Source organism: Homo sapiens, chromosome 5 (assembly GCF_000001405.40).
Source record: "Homo sapiens chromosome 5, GRCh38.p14 Primary Assembly".
Taxonomy (NCBI): Eukaryota; Metazoa; Chordata; class Mammalia; order Primates; family Hominidae; genus Homo; species Homo sapiens.
The window spans coordinates 170,783,708-170,804,311 of record NC_000005.10 but is presented as its reverse complement, the minus strand read 5'-3'; the positions used below and the strand labels follow the sequence as shown (position 1 = coordinate 170,804,311).

Here is a 20,604-nt window from a genome sequence, read left to right as displayed (position 1 = left end):
ACTACTCATAATAGCCAAAAGGTGGAAACCAAATGTTCATCAACTGATGAATCAATAAATAAAATTTGATATATATATCTATCTCATCTATCTCACATGAATATATATATATATATATATATATATGCATACAAAGAAATACTACTCAGTAATAAAAAGGAATAAAGTACTGATGCAAGCCATAACATGTGTGAACCTCAAAAACATGCTAAGTGAAAGAAACCAGATGCAAAAGACCACATAGGGCTGGGCATGGTGGCTCATGCCTGTAATCCCAGCACTTTGGGAGGCTGAGGCAGGTGGATCACCTGTGGTCGGGAGTTTGAGACCAGCCTGGCCAACATGGTGAAACCCTGTCTCTACTAAAAATACAAAAATTAGCCAGGTGTGGCAGCGCATGCCAGCTACTTGGGAGGCTGAGATAGGAGAATCACTTGCACCTGGGAGGCGGAGTTTGCAGTGAGCCTAGATTGCGCCATTGCACTCCAGCCTGGACAACCAGAGCAAAACTCTGTCTCAAAACCAACCAACCAACCAACCAACCAACCAACCAACCAACCAACCAACCACATAGTGCATGATTCCATTTATAAGAAATATCCAGAAAAGGCAAATTCATACAGACAGCGAGTAGGTTAGTCATCGCCTGGGAGCTGGTGATGGGAAAGAGGCGTGACTGCAGATGGGTACAGGAGTCTCTTTGGGGTGATGGAAATATTCTAACAATGACATGTGGTGATGGTTGCACTACTCGGAAATGTACTAAAAATCTTTGAACTGTACAATTAAAATGGGTGAATTTTATCGTATATAAGTTATACCTCAATAAAGCTGTTAAAAAACAACTCTGAGTCAGACACTATTATTCTTCCCACTTCACTGATAGGAAACTGAGGTCCAGAGACATTAGTTACTCACCCAGAGTCACAGAGCTAGTGATGGCAAAACTCAGTGATTTCGGTACCTGTGATCTTATACATAAAGGTATATTGCCTTTGTTTTCAAAGACTACTGGGAAATGTGATGCCGGTGTTGGAACTAACATTTTGTTAAGTCTCACAGTATGGTATCCATTGTCTAGCAAGGGTTATCTCGCCCTCCCCAGGGAAGAGAAATATAGCCATGAACTCTTAGGGGATTTCCAGGTAAAAACTGTCTGTGGACTTTCCCTTGGAAGCATCCAAACATGTACTAAAGCCAGCTGTCTAAATACGGCTACCATCCCACATTAAAAAAAAAATCTATGAAAGTGGGTAGTACAAGTTTCTACCTGGACACTCTGACTTTACAACTAGTAAATGCTCACAATCATTACATTATGGTCTCTCTGTCCCTGGGTGAATAAGGAAAACTGTGGGATGGTATCAGTTCTTTTCTAGAGATGGTACTTAGAAAAAAACCCATAGTGAGGTTTCTGTACCCAAACACTGCTAATAAACATTCAGAGAAAGCTCCCTCCGCTCACTGGGGATGGTATATGTGAAACAGAGGCTGAACAGAGAAAGCTCCCTCCGCTCACTGGGGATGGTATATGTGAAACAGAGGCTGAACAGAGAAAGCTCCCTCCGCTCACTGGGGATGGTATATGTGAAACAGAGGCTGAACAGAGAAAACTCCCTCCGCTCACTGGGGATGGTATTTGTGAAACAGAGGCTGAGGTTTCCAGGAGAATCTGTCTCCTGGGATTTGAGATGAGCCCAGCCACGATACACGGAAGGTAATAGCTTTTTCCATGTGGGACTGAAAATGAGTTCTCTTTTTGATAACCTCAAGTTTTATTCTGCCACCAAACAGCTGTATTGCTTCAAGAAGTTTCTGCATGCATTTAATCAATAAGATAATTAATCTGTTTTTCTGGGTCTTTAATTAAATGTCTGCTTCTGAAAAATGGCTTCTGCTTCATAATGGCTGTGCTTCTCAGATGTTGCCCACTTGTGACCTTACGTAAGGAGTGCCCACTGCTCTCCAGAGTTTGACTATATTTCTCCCTCCACACACAAGCCCCACCTTGATGCCTTAATAAATCATATCTGCAATGTTGTTTGCCTATCACAGGTGCCCCAGTTTGGTGGGCATTTCGGAGCGGTTTACTAAGGAACAATGGAGATTACTTAACAATGCTAGGGAGTTCATTCATCACACATCAACCTAGAGTTAAATCCTCATTCTTCATCACAGGCAAATCCCCAGGTTACAGTTTAGATGCCCATTTACTGGCATGACTGTGTGAGCTTTATATCTATCAAGCAATTTTTTTTAAAAGTTGGAAGCACGAGTGATAAATGTCAAGGATGGCTTTGCATATTTGCCATCCCTTCTGCTTTGTTCCTTCTTGTACATAATCCTCATCTTAGCAGATTCTGAGTCCCACTCCTTGTCTCTTGGTCCATTCCAGCTGATGCCCTATGTCTCATTCCAAGTGACACTTTCCCTAGGAAAACTCTGACCCCCCCCCCATTACTTTTCATTGTTGTAACTCATTCTGTTATAATTATTTAAAGTCCTGCACCCTCTATTAGACTGTAGAGTTCTCGAAGACTGCAGCATTACTTTTATCTGTGTATTGCAAACATCTACCACAGTACCTCACATAGAATCGTCATTTAATGGTTGAATGGATGAATTGAATGTATTTAAATGAGGATAGACAGATGGAACCCAACCAGCCATCCAGACTGGCTGGAGACTTTAGTGGGACAATATATAAAACTAAAGTATTAGAATGAGAAAAAAGACTTTCCTTAGCAGACACAGGAAAGGACAAACACTGGTCTTGGTCCTAGGTAATGCAAGGGAACTGGCACAGGGATATGTCTGGGACTACTGTGTGGTAATCAGGTTGCAATTCAGTTGAACATTCTGGCAGGATTTGGGGAATCCAACAAAAGCGTCACATGGTTACTCAATTTGGGGAACAATGATGATAATAAATGGACACTGGAGAAATTGGGAAGGAGGTATTAAAAGATTTTCATTATCTCCATATTACTGTTTAAAAGCACTTTATGGTATACTCAGGAAAAATAAGCAGCTCAGATCACAAACAAGCCACTGGAACAAACTCCCTATGTGACTCTCCAGCCCAGTGGAAGGGCTATTAGAGTTCAGGGAACTTGGGACCTTGGGGCCATTCCACCTGGGTTGAAGTCCCCGTGCGGCTACTTCACTTTCCCTTGGGAAAATTGCCAAATCCTAATGAACCTCAATTTCTCTATCTGCAAGATGGGAAAAACAATATACATATCTCTCAGGATTGTTTGCAAGGTGTCTAGTATAGTGACAGACATGGATTAAGTAATTGTTAAATGGATGCTACAGTATTTATTGGGAAAAGAATATTTATTACTACATATATTTTTTTGTTTGAGATGGTGTCTTGTTCTTGTTGCCCAGGCTGGAGTGCAATGGCACAATCTTTGCTCACTGCAACCTCCACCTCCTGGGTTCAAGCGATTCTCCTGCCTCAGCCTCCCAAGTAGCTGGGATTACAGTCACCCACCATCACACCTGGCTAATTTTTGTATTTTTAGTAGAGATGGGGTTTCACCATCTTGGCCAGGCTGGTCTTGAACTCCAGGCCTCAAGTAATCTGTCCACCTTGGCCTCCCAAAGTGCTGGGATTATAGGCGTGAGCCACTGTGCCTTGCCCATTTATTACTATTATTATTACTATTATTGTTAACAAAAAAGTTGTTCAGTCAAGGAGATTGGGGCAACAGCAGATTGAGGCCATAAAACACATTTTGTTACCTCCTCCAAGAAGTCTTTCCTCACTAGCCTCTCTACTTCCTTTGCAATGGGGAGTGAGGTTTTTCTTATTATCACAGTGCTTTGCACAGAAAAAAAAAATAAAATAGTGTTTTAGACATGAAGTCCTTGCCCATGCCTATGTTCTGAATGGTATTGCTTAGGTTTTCTTCTAGGGTTTTTATGGTTTTAGGTCTAACATTTAAGTCTTTAATCCATCTTGAATTAATTTTCATATAAGGTGTAAGGAAGGGATCCAGTTTCAGCTTTCTACATATGGCTAGCCAGTTTTCCCAGCACCATTTGTTAAGTAGGGAATCCTTTCCCCATTTCTTGTTTTTGCCAGGTTTGTCAAAGATCAGATAGTTGTAGATGTGTGGTATTATTTCTGAGGGCTCTCTTTGGTTCCATTGGTCTATATTTCTGTTTTGGTACCAGTACCATGCTGTTTTGGTTACTGTAGCCTTGTAGTATTGTTTGAAGTCAGGTAGCATGATGCCTCCAGCTTTGTTCTTTTGGCTTAGGATTGACTTGGCAATGTGGGCTCTTTTTTGGTTCCATATGAACTTTAAAGTAGTTTTTCCCAATTCTGTGAAGAAAGTCATTGGTAGCTTGATGGGGATGGCATTGAATCTATAAATTTCCTTGGGTAGTATGGCCATTTTCACGATATTGATTCTTCCTATCCACGAGCATGGACTGTTCTTCCATTTGTTTGTGTCCTCTTTTATTTCATTGAGCAGTGGCAACAAAAGCCAAAATTGACAAATGGGATCTAATTAAACTAAAGAGCTTCTGCACAGCAAAAGAAACTACAATCAGAGTGAACAGGCAACCTACAGAATGGGGGAAAATTTTTGCAATGTACTCATCTGACAAAGGGCTAATATCCAGAATCTACAAAGAACTTGAACAAATTTACGAGAAAAAAACAAACAACCCCATCAAAAAGTGGGCGAAGGATATGAACAGACACTTCTCAAAAGAAGACATTTGTGCAGCCAAAAGACACATGAAAAAATGCTCATCATCACTGGCCATCAGAGAAATGCAAATCAAAACCACAAGGAGATATCATCTCATAGCAGTTAGAATGGCAATCATTAAAAAGTCAGGAAACTGCAGGTGCTGGAGAGGATGTGGAGAAATAGGAACACTTTTACACTGTTGGTGGGACTGTAAACTGGTTCAACCACTGTGGAAGACAGTGTGGCGATTCCTCAGGGATCTAGAACTAGAAATACCATTTGACCCAGCCATCCCATTACTGGGTATATACACAAAGGAATATAAATCATGCTGCTATAAAGACACATGCACATGTATATTTATTGCGGCATTATTCACAATAGCAAAGGCTTGGAACCAAGCCAAATGTCCAACAATGATAGACTGGATTAAGAAAATGTGGCACATACACACCATGGAATACTATGCAGCCATAAAAAATGATGAGTTCATGTCCTTTGTAGAGACATGGATGAAGCTGGAAACCATCATTCTCAGCAAACTATCACAAGGACAAAAAACCAAACACCGCATGTTCTCACTCATAGGTGGGAATTGAACAGTGAGAACACTTGGACACAGGAAGGGGAACACAGGAAGGGTGTGGGGAGGGGGGAGGGATAGCATTAGGAGATATACCTAATGTAAATGACGAGTTAATGGGTGCAGCACACCAACACGGCACATGTATACATATGTAACAAACCTGCATGTTGTGCACATGTACCCTAGAACTTAAAGTATAATAAAAATATATATATAAAACAAAAAAAATGAAAAAAGAAATAAAATAAAGTCTTTGTGATTTTTTAGACCTAAAAATGTAGCCCTGGACATATTTGCTGACAAATGATGAGTACATTGATGAAAAGTCCATGACCTTTTTCATATCTTCTACTGGGACCTGTGGCTGATATGATCTTGGGAGAGTAAGGGTGGGTGGGTGGCAAAGAACATGGTCATAGAACTCATCTGGAACCACAGACCCTTTGAGAGTTAGTAATCAGATAGATGGCATAAATTAAATATTAAAAGTTTAGGTCTCAGGGGCTAGTCTATATTTGTTGTCACCGAAATGTTTTTTATGAAATGATTGTCCCACAAAACGCTTATGAAAGAAGATTCCATGGTTTAAAACGTTTGGGAAGTGCTACCACTCCTTCTTGGAATTTCACGTGGAAGTAACTTATTAGAGCCCGTTAAAAACTCTGCAGCAGGCCAGGCACGGTGGCTCACGCCTGTAATCTCAGCACTTTGGGAGACTGAGGCAGGCAGATCATGAGGTCAGGAGATCGAGACCATCCTGGCTAACATGGTGAAACCCTGTCTCTACTAAAAATACAAAAAATTAGCCGGGCGTGGTGGCGGGCGCCTGTGGTCCCGGCTACTTGGGAGGCTGAGGCAGGAGAATGGCGTGAACCTGGGAGGCAGAGCTTGCAGTGAGCCGAGATCGCGCCACCACAGTCCAGCTTGGGCGACAGAGCGAGACTCCGTCTCAAAACAGAACAAAACAAAACGAAACTCTGCAGCAAAGAAGAATGTTAATACTTAAGGCTTTATGAGTCATCTGGTCTCTATCACAAATACTCAACTCTGCCACTGCAGTACAGAAGTAGCCACAGACGGTGTGTAAGTACATGGGCACGACTGTGTGTCAGTAAAACTTCCTTAGCAGAAACAGGTGATGGGGCTGGATTGGGCACACCAGCCGTTGTTTGCTGACCCCTGGCCTAGACCACCAACTACATTAAAGCATTTCCTTTGGTTTTCTTGTCCACTCATAGGTGGAGATATCTGGTACTAATGCATAATGGTTCTCCCCAAAAGATATTAGGCATATCTTTGAGAAGTCTCTAAATCTGTCTGGAAGTACAGTCAGAAGGGCTGAATCCACGATGAATCAACATTAAGAAAAGAAAGGTCACTGTGTATGAGATACTTTTCATGAATACACACACCTAAGTCACCCAGGAAAATCATCTCAGGAGCCTGTAGGATGTATACTTACAGCTTTCCAGCTGCAACTTGCATGTCTGTGTGTCCATGGGGTATTTAGACAGATCCATGTTACATGCAACAGTTGTCGTGATTCTAAGAGGGAAAAACAGGTTCAAAAACAGTATTGTGAGGAAGTTATAGAAAGTTCACATTCCTTCGAAGGCCCACTCAAAGAAGACTTTCACTGGAACTCTTAAATGAACATGTAGCTTGGAGTCTGCATGTAAAGCATCCTTGAGGCTCTGGGTGCTAAAGAATGTGTGCATGAGGCTTGGTTAAACCTGGGTCCAGAGTGGAGGAAGTTGGAATGCTGGCCATTCAAGGGGCAAAACTTCTGGCAGTATCACAGAACAGACAGATGCATTGGCTCGAGATGCTTTAGCATCCAGTTTTTAAATTTTATCTTCCTGACAGACCTGGGTGGGCCTAGAACAGTGTTCACCATCACTATCGTCACCACTTGACAGCAGGCATAGGGACTTGCATAGGCTCATGTGGCTCTGAGTGGCAGAACTGAGGCTGCAGCCTAGGTCTCCTGGCTGTGCTCTTCTCATGAGGCCCTGCCTCCTCATGGGAACCAGGATGCAGAGGCAGTGGGGGCCCCAGGCACTGTGGCTTTGGGGGCTTAACCCCAGAGATATTCAATTAAAGGTCAGTTATGCCCTCACAGTGGAGATTGCATTCACCAGGCCTCTATCTTCCTTTTTCTTCAGTGTCATACATTTTTATTCAGCATCCTTATTTATTAAGCACTGTGCTAGGTACTTGGGGGAAATGGAGGTGATTACAGAATGGTGCTCACCTCCAGGATGCTCACTCACACTCCCTTTAGGGAGACAGAGACTAACAATAGCTATGGTTTACTGAGTGCTTACTGTGAGCTAGTCCCTGGGCTGAGTGCTTTGCATGCATTACCCCTTTGAACAGTTCTACTAGGTAGGAAATATTTTAATTCTCATTTTACTGCTGATGAAACTGAGGCTCTGAGAGTCAAGTAACTTGCCTAAGGTCACAGAGCTGCTGAGGGACAGAGCAGGGACTTGTACCAAAATCTTTATGATTCTAGAGCCAGGCTATTAAAACATCACTCATTATTTGTAATCCTTACACAATATTGATTGTGTTGTGTGCCATAATACAGACAGACACACATGTACACACAAATGCATGCACACACTCACACATCCACATTCACACATTGCTGTGGGAACATGGGGAAGGGGAACATTAACGATGATTGGAATTGAGGTCAAAAGAGAAGTCTAATTATGTTTCATGAGACAAGAATTGGGCTTTGAGATGGTCTTTGCAAAACTCAGTACAGTTGAGGCATGTCCAGAAATTCAGTTTATCGGTTAGCTCAACCCTTGTTTTATAACTTTAGACTCTTACTTAAGATTAAACATCAGCCCCATGAATATTTGGCTCCTGGCCTCCTCCCCAAGGCCTCTGGGAGCTTTAGGTTTGCACAGTCCTTGCACAGGCAGGGATGAGTCCTGTTCCATCCAACCCGGCTCCATTAACAATTGGGTGAAAGGAACTTGAGCTTCAGGAATTTGGGGAGATGGCAAAGGGGAGCCCATGGCTGCAGGTGGCAGAGACTTTGGGGCACTGCACCTTGGTTTTCTCTACAAACATGACTCAGACAAGTAGAGTGGTGTTCTGGAGCTGCTGCAGTTCCACTGGGCCCCAAGAAAGGAAAGTTCCTTGCATGCACCTCTCTGTCGTCTCTGCCATTGCCCTTATTTCTTCCCTTGCTAACTTCCTTTTACCCTTTAAGACATAGCTCAGAATCCTGTGAAAGCATCCTGTAACATCACCCCCAAACCACTCACCTACTCCCTAACTTGGGCCCCAGCACCAGGGACCTCCTTTGTTTCCATGTCCGTGTCTTGAGGACAGGTCAATGCCTTACTCAGCTCTATCCTGTGGCCAGCATGGGGCTTGGCACAGAGCAGGCATTTGGTAGATGATGAACTGAGAGAGGGACCTTCTATTATGGGGGCAAGGATCTAAGAAGCCATGGGACCTCACAGTGGCTATTTGAGTTCTGGTCACAACTACCCAAGACACATCTGCATGTTTTCTCCCAGCTGCCGTCCTCCACCCCTGAGGTCACAGGTGTCCGCGTACCTGAGGGCATACAGGACCGTGCCATTGGAGAAGAGGCGGATGAGCCTGTTTCCCACAGTGACTTCATGGAGGAAGGACTTCTTGGACTCCACAATGTAAGTATCTGGCACCCAGAGGAACTCCACGAGGCGGGCATCCAGAGTGAAGCTCTTGTTGCCTTCAAACACCAGCCGCTGGTCCATCCAGCGCTGTCGGAGGTATATGGTGGCTGTGTAGTCCTGGGAGGGGGAGGCAGGGTATGGAAATGGATGGGGGTAGTGGGTGAGAAAACCCCACCAAATGGAGGAAAGTGGTCAAAGTTTACTCCCCTCCCCACCTCCACTTAGAGCAAGAATACACAGACTTTGGTGAATAAAGTTACCATTCTAATTGCAATATGCCACTACCCCAAGACTGGGGTAACTGATAAGTCACTCCAGTTACCCCAGTCTTGGGTTAGTGGCATATTGCAATAAGAGAACAAATCGCCTTATTTATTCTAGATAATAGCTCCTATTGCCAAAAGGGAACGCCATGTTCAAGACTTTAACTTACTTGGTGTGACAGCTCACATTGCACTGATCACTAAGGCCCCACCAAATTGTTGAATTTTTTGGTGGGCTAAGTGCTTAGGTTGTCCACGATTTATCTGGAATGCACAGCATACCCTCTTGGCAAACTGCCTTTAGTTTGCCCTTGTCTCGAATATGTTCTCTTAAGGGAGACAGTCGTTGTCAGCATCAGCTGTCAGTTTTCCTCGGGTTGTCTCCCCCATTATAAAAGACCATGTAATGGCCAGGCTTGCCTACTACACTTTCATTCCTTTCCCCAAATTTTATCCATCACCAAGTGTACCCACTTCATTGCCTGGTTTCTCTCCTTCTGGCTCTTGAACCGATTTTCTTCCTGCTACTCAGGAAATCTGCTCTACAAGAATCTTCCATTGTCTTACTCAGAAAATCTGCTCTACAAGAATCTCCCACTGTCTTGAGTTTGGAGATAGCACTCCAGCTTCTGCCATTCCAAATGGAGGAGGGCCATGAGCCATTCTTTTTTTTTTTTTTTTTTTTTGAGCGGCTAGAAAGCATATCCCCTTTAAACACACAGAGAGGGACTACTTGGGTAGAGTACAAAGGAACAGCGCTTACCATGTTACTCTCTGAAATGCTAGAGATACTTGCAATGTCCAGAGTCAGCGCTATCTGTACGGGTTCTCCTAAGATAAAAAAAAACAAGAAAGAATGGAAACACAACCATGAGCTGTCTTAATACTATATTAGTGCATTCTAAAAAAGATTAAAATTACAAAAGTTGTGCTTGGTTGTTAGAAAAATTTAAATATTCTATAAATATAAAAAGAAAAATTTTCTTATCCCCTCTCAAGAGTAACCATTGTGTATGGTGTGCCTCTCTTTTGTATGAAAAATATGCACACATACATAGGTATCTTAATATGTAAGAGAGACTACCTGCATAATTAATGCTTTTTAATTATTATTATTATTATTTTTGAGACAGAGTTTCACTCTTCTTGCCCAGGCTGGAGTGCAATAATAGCACGATCTCGGCTCGCCACAAACTCCGCCTCCCAGGTTCAAGCGATTCTCCTGCCTCAGCCTCCCAAGTAACTGGGATTACAGGCATGTGCCACCAAGCCCGGCTAATTTGTATTTTTTTCTCCATGTTGGTCACGCTGAATTAACGCATAAGGAACATAGTGCTAAGACATTTGCCACTTCTTACATGGAGGGTTTTTCCTATGGCATTTGTAAGGAACTAATTGTTTAGAAAGGTAACAGATTTGGTAATCTGATTGCGCACAGATGTTGTTTTATCCCCCACTTGGCTAAGTAAATTTACCACAAGAGGCATTCAAGACTCATGGCTGAGCTTTTGCTGACCTCCTGATACTTTGCTTCTCTTCCTTTACTCTCCTGGAACCCTAAACAATTTAGAATTTCAGAACCTCCACACTTGGTCCAGTGTGCAGACTGTTGGGCCTCAATCCTGGAGTCTCAGCAGACAGATTGAACTTCAGAGAGAGAGAGTTCTATCTCTAGAGACTGAGGTGTCAGAGCCACCTTCAAGAAGCCAGGCCAGGTCAGGGAAGTTTACTTCTCTTTATATGGAGATGTGGAATAATGGACCTAGATCCCAGCTCTGTCACCTCCCAGTTCTTTATTTGGGAAAAGTTATTAAATCTTTCAGAGCTGCAGTTCTCTTACCTGCAAGTGGAGATCATACTGACATCACAGGGTCATGGGAAGGGCTAAATGAGATTAGACGTGTGACATTGTCTTTGTGGAGTGGCGGCAATGGGGAGTGTAAGAGAAGTGCCTGCCTAGCCGGACATCCTGAAGGTGTTCATCATTGGTTATCTGTACAAAGCTCCCAGCGTCATGTCCATCAGTCACGTAATAATAGGCGCTCAATAATGGCATTTCCCTTCCCTTCCCCCTCTCTTCCGTAATCCTAGCTAATTTTGGAAAAGGGACAACTTTATTCACCAGGCTAATAGATGCAATAGCATTCACTTGCAATAAATAACCCCCGGGGGTACCTCAGGGGACTGTGATAATGCATTAACCAGGAAGAGGCCAGGCGGATTTCAAAAGAAGCTTAAAAACATCTCATCGGTAGGAATACGGCAAGGCAAACTACTTATTAATCTAAGGAGACTAAGCCATAGGATATAGGTAGGAATTTGAAAATGAAGTGTTAGAGCCAATGCAATTGAACAATAATTGAATGTTAATATCTGGTGGGAAAGGGCGAGATCTTTGAGGGCACACCCTGGAAGGTGCTGGAGTGACCTGGTGCTAAGTGGCTTTCTGCCCCTCTGGGCAGCAAGGTGCAGCTCTGAGACGAGAAGCCTGGAGTCAGAGACAGGTGTTTGAATTCCACTCAGGCCACCTAACAGCTTTGTGATCTTCAGCAAATTTCAAGTTTCTCTGTGCTGCAGTTTCTCTTCTTTTTCTGTCTTTCTTTCTTTCTTTTTTTTTTTGAGATGGAGTCTCCCTCTTGTCGCCCAGGCTGGAGGTGCAGTGGTGCAATATGGCTCACTGCAACCTCTGCCTCCTGGATTCAAGTGATTCTCCTGCTTCGGCCTTCAGAATAGCTGGGATTACAGCACCCACCACCATGCCCAGCTAATGTTTGTATTTTTAGTAAAGATGGGGTTTCACCATGTTGACCAGGCTGGTCTCTAACTCCTGACCTCAGGTGATCTGCCCACCTCAGCCTCCCAAAGTGCTGGGATTATAGGCATGAGCCACTGCGCTTGGCCTATGCTACAGTTTCACACCTGTAAAACAGAGCTACTAGAGCCACTGTGGTTTGAATGTTTGTCCCCTCCAAAACTCTTGTTGACATTTAATTGCCATTGTAAGAGTGTTAAGAGGTAGGACCCTTAAGAGGTGATTAAGCCTCATGGTGGAACTGGTGCCATGATAAAAGGGCAAGTTCAGCCCTCTCCTGTCCTCTCTCTCACCCTCTCACCTTCCACCATCTGATGACACAGCAAGAAGGCCCTTGCCAAATTCCAGCACCTTGATATTGGACTCCTCAGCCTCTAAAACTGTGAGCCAATAAACTTCTGCTCATTATAAATACTCAGCCTCAGGTATTTTGTTATAGAAGCACAAAACAGACTGAGACAAGTGCCAACCATTGAGAGTTGGGTTGGCACGGTTACGGCATCTACTTTAAGTGCCATAGATCCGTGTTAGTTGCCCTCCCTGAAGAATGCAGAGAATGGAAAAGACACGAGAGCTCCACTGTGCTTTCTGTCCAGTTTATATTCTACACCGTCTAATCTAGGCTTTGCCTCAATTGGCTTTTCTACTGGACCAGAGCTTGCTCTTTCTTCCCCTTGAGTTATAAAAGCAAGCTGTGCCACCAGAGGGCAGCTTTCTCCCAGGAACGAGGTCAAAGCCAGCTCCTGGGTAGTGTTCACTAGTGCCTGCTTACAAACCTTTGCTTTGTCCAGCTCAATCCCTAAGAAATCCTATGAAGGTCTTGTCTCTTTTGGACTTGGGGTCCTGAAAACTGGGTGCACAGACATTACAGAGAGCAATGGCCCTCCGTGGGCCTCCAGCCTGCCATGCAAGTATAGGGATTTTCAGGAGTGAAGTGCCAAGAGGCACAAAACAAGGGGTATGGGGTTGTGCTTTTCCCTTTTTTAAACTGAAGACTCCATGCCCCATTTTCACCCCAGGTGGGATGAGGCATCACATCCCTTTAGGCCTACCCCAGGCTCCCTGTTCTCAGAATGAGCTCCTTGCCCAAGGACCCTGCACCTTGTTGGCCAGTGAGTAGGCAAACAAGAAGGAGTGTATTCTGACTTAATTGTTTGGGGTTTGGGAGGCAAGAGAAATTGTTGAGTGGCACTAACCAAGGCGTGCAGACTCACGTGCTTGTCATACGTGTTCAGTAGGGCCTGGGAAAACCAGGGGATATTGGAGCCTCTTTAGGTTCTTTAATGTCAGGATCTCACATCTTAATTGTGTCTCAAATCTGAATGAAAATGCATCTCTCCCATCTCCAACTGAGCAGGTGTGATTGACTGAGGGCCTCGGCTGCTGTGCTTTGGAATCTACCACCACACTTGCTCCGAGGCCACACTTCTCATGGGCCACAGCCAACCACAGACTGAACACAGTGGGGATATCAAAGTGGCCTGTTCCTGGGAGGCACAGAGATGGGAGACTCCTCTGAATGCACCTGTAGCTCAAGGACTCCCTGGTGGTCATTCCAAACACTGAGGACTGCCCTTCCATCTAAGATGCTTCCACCCAACCTCCCTTCCTTCCCTCTCTCCTTCCCTGAGGCCAGACCTGCAGGTCTGACAGCTCTCCTAGCTTGCCTCTCCCGCTGCCTCATTCTCCCTTCTAGACATAGTCCCCCTAAATAGCTTGAAGAAGTCATCAGCTCTTGGCATCTGCTGCCCGGAGGATCTGGACTACCACATGAATCTTAGATCAGACCAGAGGGTTTTATTATCTGAGGGGAGGAGCAAGGAGGAGAAGGGATGAAAATAACCCACACTCTGTTGATGGGGCAGGCACTGTGCCTCAGGCTTACACACTTCATTCAGTCTTCCCTGTGAGATAGATGGATGTCCCCATTTTACAGAAAGGGACAGTGAGGCACAGAAGGCTAAACCACTTGCCAAGCAGGAGAGCTAGGAGCCAAACTCAGGTTTGTTAAATGCCAAGGCTCTTTCTGTTGTTTTCTGCTATGAAGAGCTGTGCAGTTGGCCTCACTCCCTCCCTCCTTGCTTTATTCTTTCAACAGATATTAATCAGCAATTTGTTATATGTCACGCACTGAGCTTCTATGGGGGATAGTGAGGGAAATGAAGTCAGACTCCTTCTAGGGCTGCAGCCTGGAGCCGGGACAGACATGAAATCAGTTATAGCATAATGGGAACGGCTATGATTTTGAGGCATGTTCACAAGGAAGTGTGAAGAAAGGGGATGGGGCCTGGAGGAATCAGGGGAGGCTTCTCAGAGAAGGCAGCGTTTGCTCTGAGACATGATGGAAAATTGATATTTTCTAGGGAGTCAAGTTTAAAGAAGCAATTCCAGGAAGAAAGCCTCTGTAAAGGCATAGAGGCAGGAGAGGCCAGGGATGTCAGGGAGCATTCTGAGTACACTGGGGAGCATTGTAGGAGGGGAAGGAGCGGGGACTTGGGTGGATGAGAATGGCAGACAGATAAAGGCTGGGCTGGGAAGGGCCTAGTGTGCCTGGACTCTACGCGAGCATGCTGGGACACATACAGGTGTTCCAACAGGGCAATGACCCAGGAGGCATCCAGATGGCAGTTTGGGGAGTCAGCTGAAAGGGCTCAGGCTGGAGGGGGAAGACCAGATGGGGTAGCCTGGTGGCGCATGGTGAATTCATTGAATAATGACCCTGGAAGTGGGGGCAGGAGGACGACAGTGTGTGAGTGTTAGGAGGCTCTTGCAGCCTCCACAGTGAGAAGGAGCATTCCTTTATCTTGCAGGTGGAGAGGCTGGGTGCCTTTTTCCAGGCAGTGTGAAAAATCATTGGTAGCCATCCTCATCCATCATTGCCAATCCTTAACAGGCTGCAGATCAGAAAATGGAGTCAACTAAAACCTCCCGAAACCCTCCACTGCTTATTGTCTCTGTTTTCGTCCCTTTGAATGATGTCCTGGACACAGAGGATGACCTACCACCAAAATTGGGCCTGAGAAATTTGTTATATCCTGCTGTGAGGTTCTCAAAGCCAGGCAGGGAAAGCTTGTCACTTCTGCCGACCTCGACGTTGAACTGACTCCCCTGGATGCACATCCTGGAAAAGAAATGGGCTTTGTTGTGTTTGCTTGTTTATGTGTGAATCAACACGTGTACACACCCTTGAGCTTGTGTTTGCCCACGTGTGTGTGGGTGTATGTGCCTTGCCCATGTACCAGCAGTGACATTCCTACAGAAAAATCTCTTAGTTTTCAGCTATTGAGTTAGTATCTCCATTTTTTACCCATTTGCCATAGATCAAAATATCATGGTAATTTGGAAACCCTCCAAGTCTCTTCTTTAAAAACATAAGGGTTCATTCATCTATGACCATATTGGAAGCTTGTGTTCTGTAAATAGAGTAAATGGCAGGAAGTTTCATTGTTCGGTGCTCCAGGGAAGTGAGTGGACCGGGTTTTGCCTTGCTGTGGGTGAATAGGAGGAGCTGCCCCCTCCCACCACATGCCCGAATGCAAAGCAACGCAGATGGAGGCCATTCTGGGGGTAGCAAAGCTCACCTCTCAGTGAAGAGACTCAGACACACGAAGGCCAAGTGGAGGCTGTAGTTCATGTTGAGAAGCTGCTCACACCAAGGGGCTGAAGTAGGAATCACCTGGGAAACAGGGGGCAAGGTAAGTGGAAGGCCGTGCAACAGGCTCACCTGCTCCTGGCCAGCCTCTCTCTCTGGTGGGTGGTCGGTACAGCATTTTCTCAGCATGCATAGGAAGCAGCCTCTTTCCATACCTTTCGGTTACAGCTCCTTCTCCCTGTGTTCCCTCCAGGAATGACTTCATTTTGGAGGATTATGTTTTTTTTTTTTTTAATTTTTTATTTTTTTTAAACAGGGCCTCACTCTGTCATCCAGGCTGAAGTGCAGGGACATGATCTCGGTTCACTGCAGCTCAACTTCCCAGGCTCCAGCGATGCTCCCAACCTTAGCCTCCTGAGTAGCTGGGACTACAGGCATGTACCACCACACCTGGGTAATTTTTTTGTATTTTTGGTAGAGATGGGGTTTCATCATGTTGCCCAGGCTGGTCTCGAACCAGCTCAAGCGATCCATCTGCCTTGGCCTCCCAAAGTGCTGGGATTACAGGCATGGGCCACTATGCCTGGACCAGGATTATGTTTTAAATCTATCCCAAATTAAGACTGGGACCTTGTTTGGAGAGTGGTTCATCAGCACCAGAAATGCAGCCAGTTTATCCTCTGGGCCATATCTGCTGGGAGCCAAGGCTATCCTTGCCCTGTCCTTGTCCCAGCTTTACCAGGAAGGACACTCTCAACTCTACACTCACCTTGACCAAGCCAGACATTCTTTTATTTATCCCCAGGTCTAGGCTTGTGGGGTCAGTCATGTAGACAGGAAACAAAAACCTGAGAGCCTCCAGTGTCAGGAGGTCATGAGTTAGGTGCTGTCCCACAGAGCTCACTCCATCCTCACAGTGGCCTTGTGTGGTGGGCGGGTTAATCCCTATATTATTACGACAAGGAAACAGGTGCATGGGAAGGACACCATGCTAGTGAGTGCCAGGGGAGACTTTGAATCCAGGGCTGGCTGCCTCCCCCCCGGTACTCTCTTCCTTCAGAGCAGGCTGGGGCCTGGGCCTTAGTTGACCCGAGGATCCTTGCTGCTGTCGTGACCTCCTAGACCTTGTCCCTGTGTTTCCTGAAGCCTTCCAGCTGGTGTGTATGTGAGGACCATCCGTGGGGCATGGCCCAGGGGCCCGGCCTCCTCAGCTTCAGGAGCTGCTGTCAGGCGTCCCTCTGAGGGAGCAGGGGGTAGCCAGGCAGGCCAGCCTGTGACCTGTCATGCTGGTGACAGCAGAATGGGGGTGCTCAGGCTCAGGCCCCATTCTCAGGCAGCCCTGGGTTGATTACCTTCTCTGTGGCAACTTCTGTGAAACAAGCCACTTTCTAGAATCTGGCCATTCTGGAGCTTAGGGCATGATTCAGCCACTCATTAATGTTATTTTACTTTCAAAACCAATACTCGCTCACTGTTGAAATGGCAACAAGTCAGAAGTTAAAAGTATAAGTCCCAATGATGTGTCAATATGGATTCATCAATGAAAACAAATGTGTCCCTCTGATGCGGGATGTTGACAGTAAAGAAGGTTTTATGTGTAGGGAAGGCTCAATTTTGCTATGACCCAAAATTGCTCTAAAAAAGAAGTCTATTTAAAAAAACATAACAAAAACAAAAAAGTCCCCCCCCATTTCTTCTCTTTTGTCTCATACTTCAGAAATAACTACCGATAACAGTTGTTTTATCCACAGATACACATATATATTTACATACATATATATCTCTATATCAAAAAAATTAAAAAGCAAAATTGGGGCAATAGCATGCTTTTTGCGGCTTACTTTTTTAACTTAATTATAGCAAACATTTATTGAACACTTAATGCATGCTTACAACTGTGCCACGCATATCTAGAATCCTCACAACTCTTTGAAGTAGGGACTACCATTCTCCCCATTTTACAGGTGAGAATACTGAGGATTAGAGAGGATAAGGAATATTTCCAAGGCTAAGTAGTACATGAGGGGCAGAAAAGTACATCTAAGCAAGCTGACCCAACTCCTCTTAATGAGTGCACCATGAAACATGCTGTTTTGCAGTATCAGTGACACCTTCCATGTCAGTTCCTATAATCCGCCTTATTCTCTCTAATGGCTGCAAGGTGTCTCATGGTCTGAATGTACCAACATTTCTAGAACACATCTTCTACTGTGAATGCTGTTATTTCCAAAGTTTTTACGTTACAAAATCAGTGAAGAACAGTTTTGCACACAGGTAAATTCTTATCATTCTGCTCTCTGTTATGTTAGCTTTTTTGTTCTCACTCATTGAAAATACCAGTTATAAAATCAACATTATAAATCTACCAACGATCATATTCACATTCTCTTCCTTTAGTCCATCTCCCCAATCCCTGTCCTTTCCCTGTCCAAGCATTGAGTTTAAGGGGGTCCATGGAGCAGCTCCCATGCCCTCCATTGCCTCATTCAATTTTCCACAGGTTTATTGAGCTTCTCCTGTGAACCAGGCATGTGAAAAGCACCACCAGAGCACCCACCCATCTAGTGAGGAAGAGACATGTGTGACTGGTGAATGAACATTCCCTACAGCATCCTCTAATAGGAGCAGAGGACAGGGGATATTTGGTATGCAAAAGAGCAGGGAGGATGGGGCAATGTCAAAAGGGAAGTCACAGAAAAGGTCATTTGATTCTTGAAGAGTGAGTTGCATTTGCCAGGTGGACAAAGGAGAGTGGGGGCCCTCCAAATGTTGGACAGAGATGTGCAGGCTTGCCCACGGCCTCTCTCCCACATGCTTATCAGCCTCTTCCCACCAGCCCTTGGCTGTCTGTGTCTTTCTCCTGGTCTGGCCTGAAGGAACATGGTTCCACTTTGGCATATTCCTCATTTCCTCCTCCTCCTATAGGAAATGGCCCTCGATCAAGTGATTTGGGGAACCATCCAGTCTTCAGTTCCAAGACTCCTCTTGAATAGTGCTTTCCCAGTGGCCAAACTTCTGTTAGGAAGATGTAACATTTGGCCCTGGGCCTCTCAGCCTCCTCTAAGGAGTCTCATGATCTGAGAAGCTTCACCCAGGCTAGAGCCAGAAATGTAATCCCATCCTACCGTGTTTGCTTGGTTAAGTTGCTAAACACGTCTCATTTTATAAGGGAAGAAAAGAGAAGAAAAAGGCTTCTAAATGCCCATGAATTGTTAGAAGCCATGTCTGGTGCTTAATTTCATTTAATTCTCATGGCTGCTGGCCCAGAAGGTGTTAATTTTTAGAGTCAAATCTTAGATTTGCAAGGGGATTTGGCTGAGGTCACACAGTTAAGTGGCATGATTTAAATCTGTTTTCCAAGTCCCTTTTCTTTGCCCTGCATTTAGGAGGAGGGCCTTCAGCACCCCCAAGCTGAACTGGATTCCACTTGAATCTTGTCCTTTTTATACCAAACCCATCTGGGGGATGGAGTGTTGCATCCGCAGCACATCCCAAGTGACAAGTGCAGCTGATGCCATCACTCCCTGTGGTAGACGAGCCAATCGTTAAGTGGCTATTTATGTGTCGGCCAGCCTCAATGGAGGCTCAGGCCACCAGTTCTGGTACAGGTGCTGGGGGATGGAATTTAGTGGAGAGGTACTGAGCCACCAGAGAGCAGTGTCCTAAGGGTTGTCCCCAAAGCTGCAACACAGATGTTGACTGGAACCACCTAGCCTTCTGCATCTGCAGGGACATGGTGCTCAGGAGGCCCTAGGAGGCTCCTGAGTAGGGGCAGCCTATGCATTATCCTGCCCCGAGGGCATCTCTGGCCAAGCTCCTACCTCCACTTGTAGAGGAGACCTTGAGCTCTGGATCCTGATACACCCGAGTCATTTAACCTCTCAGAGTCTCAGTTTTCCCATCTGACAAATGGGAATAGAAAGCATTCAATAAACATTAGTTTTCATTCTCCTCTGCCTTCCGTGTCTTCCATGGGAATTCAGTGATTCCACTATGACTAATAGAACCCAAATCTCAAGCTCTTTCTATTTCTATATACACCCCAGGTGCCACTCAGAGTGTGAGCTAACTGGCACCACCTCAGGAAGTACAGGGTCAGGCACAGGGCATTAAGGTCACATAGGGAGCTGATGGCACCTTTTTCTAAACCAGAAATCCAGCCTAATGTCTCCCAGTCTCCCCCGCCTCTTCCTGGCTTGGCCTACTGGGCTTCTATACTCCGTGCTCTTGGCCTCTATGTCTCTTTTGAAAACTTCCCAGGCTGGAAGCAGAAATAATTCCAATATGTGCAAGTTTCTACTACCGTTTCTACTCTATTCCCAGAATTTCTACCATGTAAATACAGTGACCCCCAACCCCAACTTGTCACCTCCAGCTTCCTTCCTATGCAGGCACAGTTTTCCTATCCTTATCACTTCAGCATAGACAGAATCATTTGTTGGAAAGCAGGAGTAGAGCCCGAATTAGGTTAAGGTGAGGAAAGGCATTATTGCCATGGGTCCCGCTTAAGAAAATCCCAGAAGATAAAGTGGTGCGGCGCGTGCCCTGTGTCTGCTGGTCTTGGCCAGCTGCTGCACAGGGGTGAATGACTGTGGCTGTAGTGAGGACAGCAGGGGCTCTAATCTTGGCTCTGCTGCTCGTCCTGCAGTGGCGCTCCCTGATGCTCATTAGGTGTTCAGCAGAGTCCAGGCCTGCCCCCTCCCTCGGTCCCAGCAGGGCTTGTATTTGGATCTCCCTCCCTCCCCTCTCTCCAGACACCTGGAGGGGCCAGCAGTTTCCTTACCAGGTAGTTGTTGAGGCTCTGTTAGGGCAAGTCCTTCAGGCCTACAGGCAGGACTTCCAGGCAAGGCACGGTCTTCTGGGTCCCCAGGGTTCTCCTCATCCTCAGCCCTGTCCCCTCGTATGTGGACACGCAGCCACCCTCAGATGGAGTGGCTCTCTGGGGAAGAA

General features: G+C 45.4%; 1 protein-coding gene across 4 annotated transcripts in view; it reads right to left on the bottom strand.

The window, feature by feature from the left end:
* Window positions 1–20,604, bottom strand: part of GABRP (gamma-aminobutyric acid type A receptor subunit pi) — a 31,328-nt gene that overhangs the window by 9,736 nt on the left and 988 nt on the right. For 2 of the 4 annotated variants that reach the window (NM_014211.3, NM_001291985.2), the window contains exons 1-6: window positions 20,438–20,587; window positions 15,644–15,738; window positions 15,065–15,183; window positions 10,014–10,081; window positions 8,887–9,104; window positions 6,764–6,846 (exon numbers count right to left, since the gene is read on the bottom strand). In NM_014211.3, the coding sequence (NP_055026.1) occupies window positions 6,764–6,846; window positions 8,887–9,104; window positions 10,014–10,081; window positions 15,065–15,183; window positions 15,644–15,696 (541 nt within the window). In that variant the 5' untranslated portion in view covers window positions 15,697–15,738; window positions 20,438–20,587. Of the gene's footprint in view, window positions 1–6,763; window positions 6,847–8,886; window positions 9,105–10,013; window positions 10,082–15,064; window positions 15,184–15,643; window positions 15,739–20,437; window positions 20,588–20,604 lie in introns of those variants that run through there. The other 2 variants (XM_024446012.2, XM_005265872.2) reach the window with 2 other exon arrangements.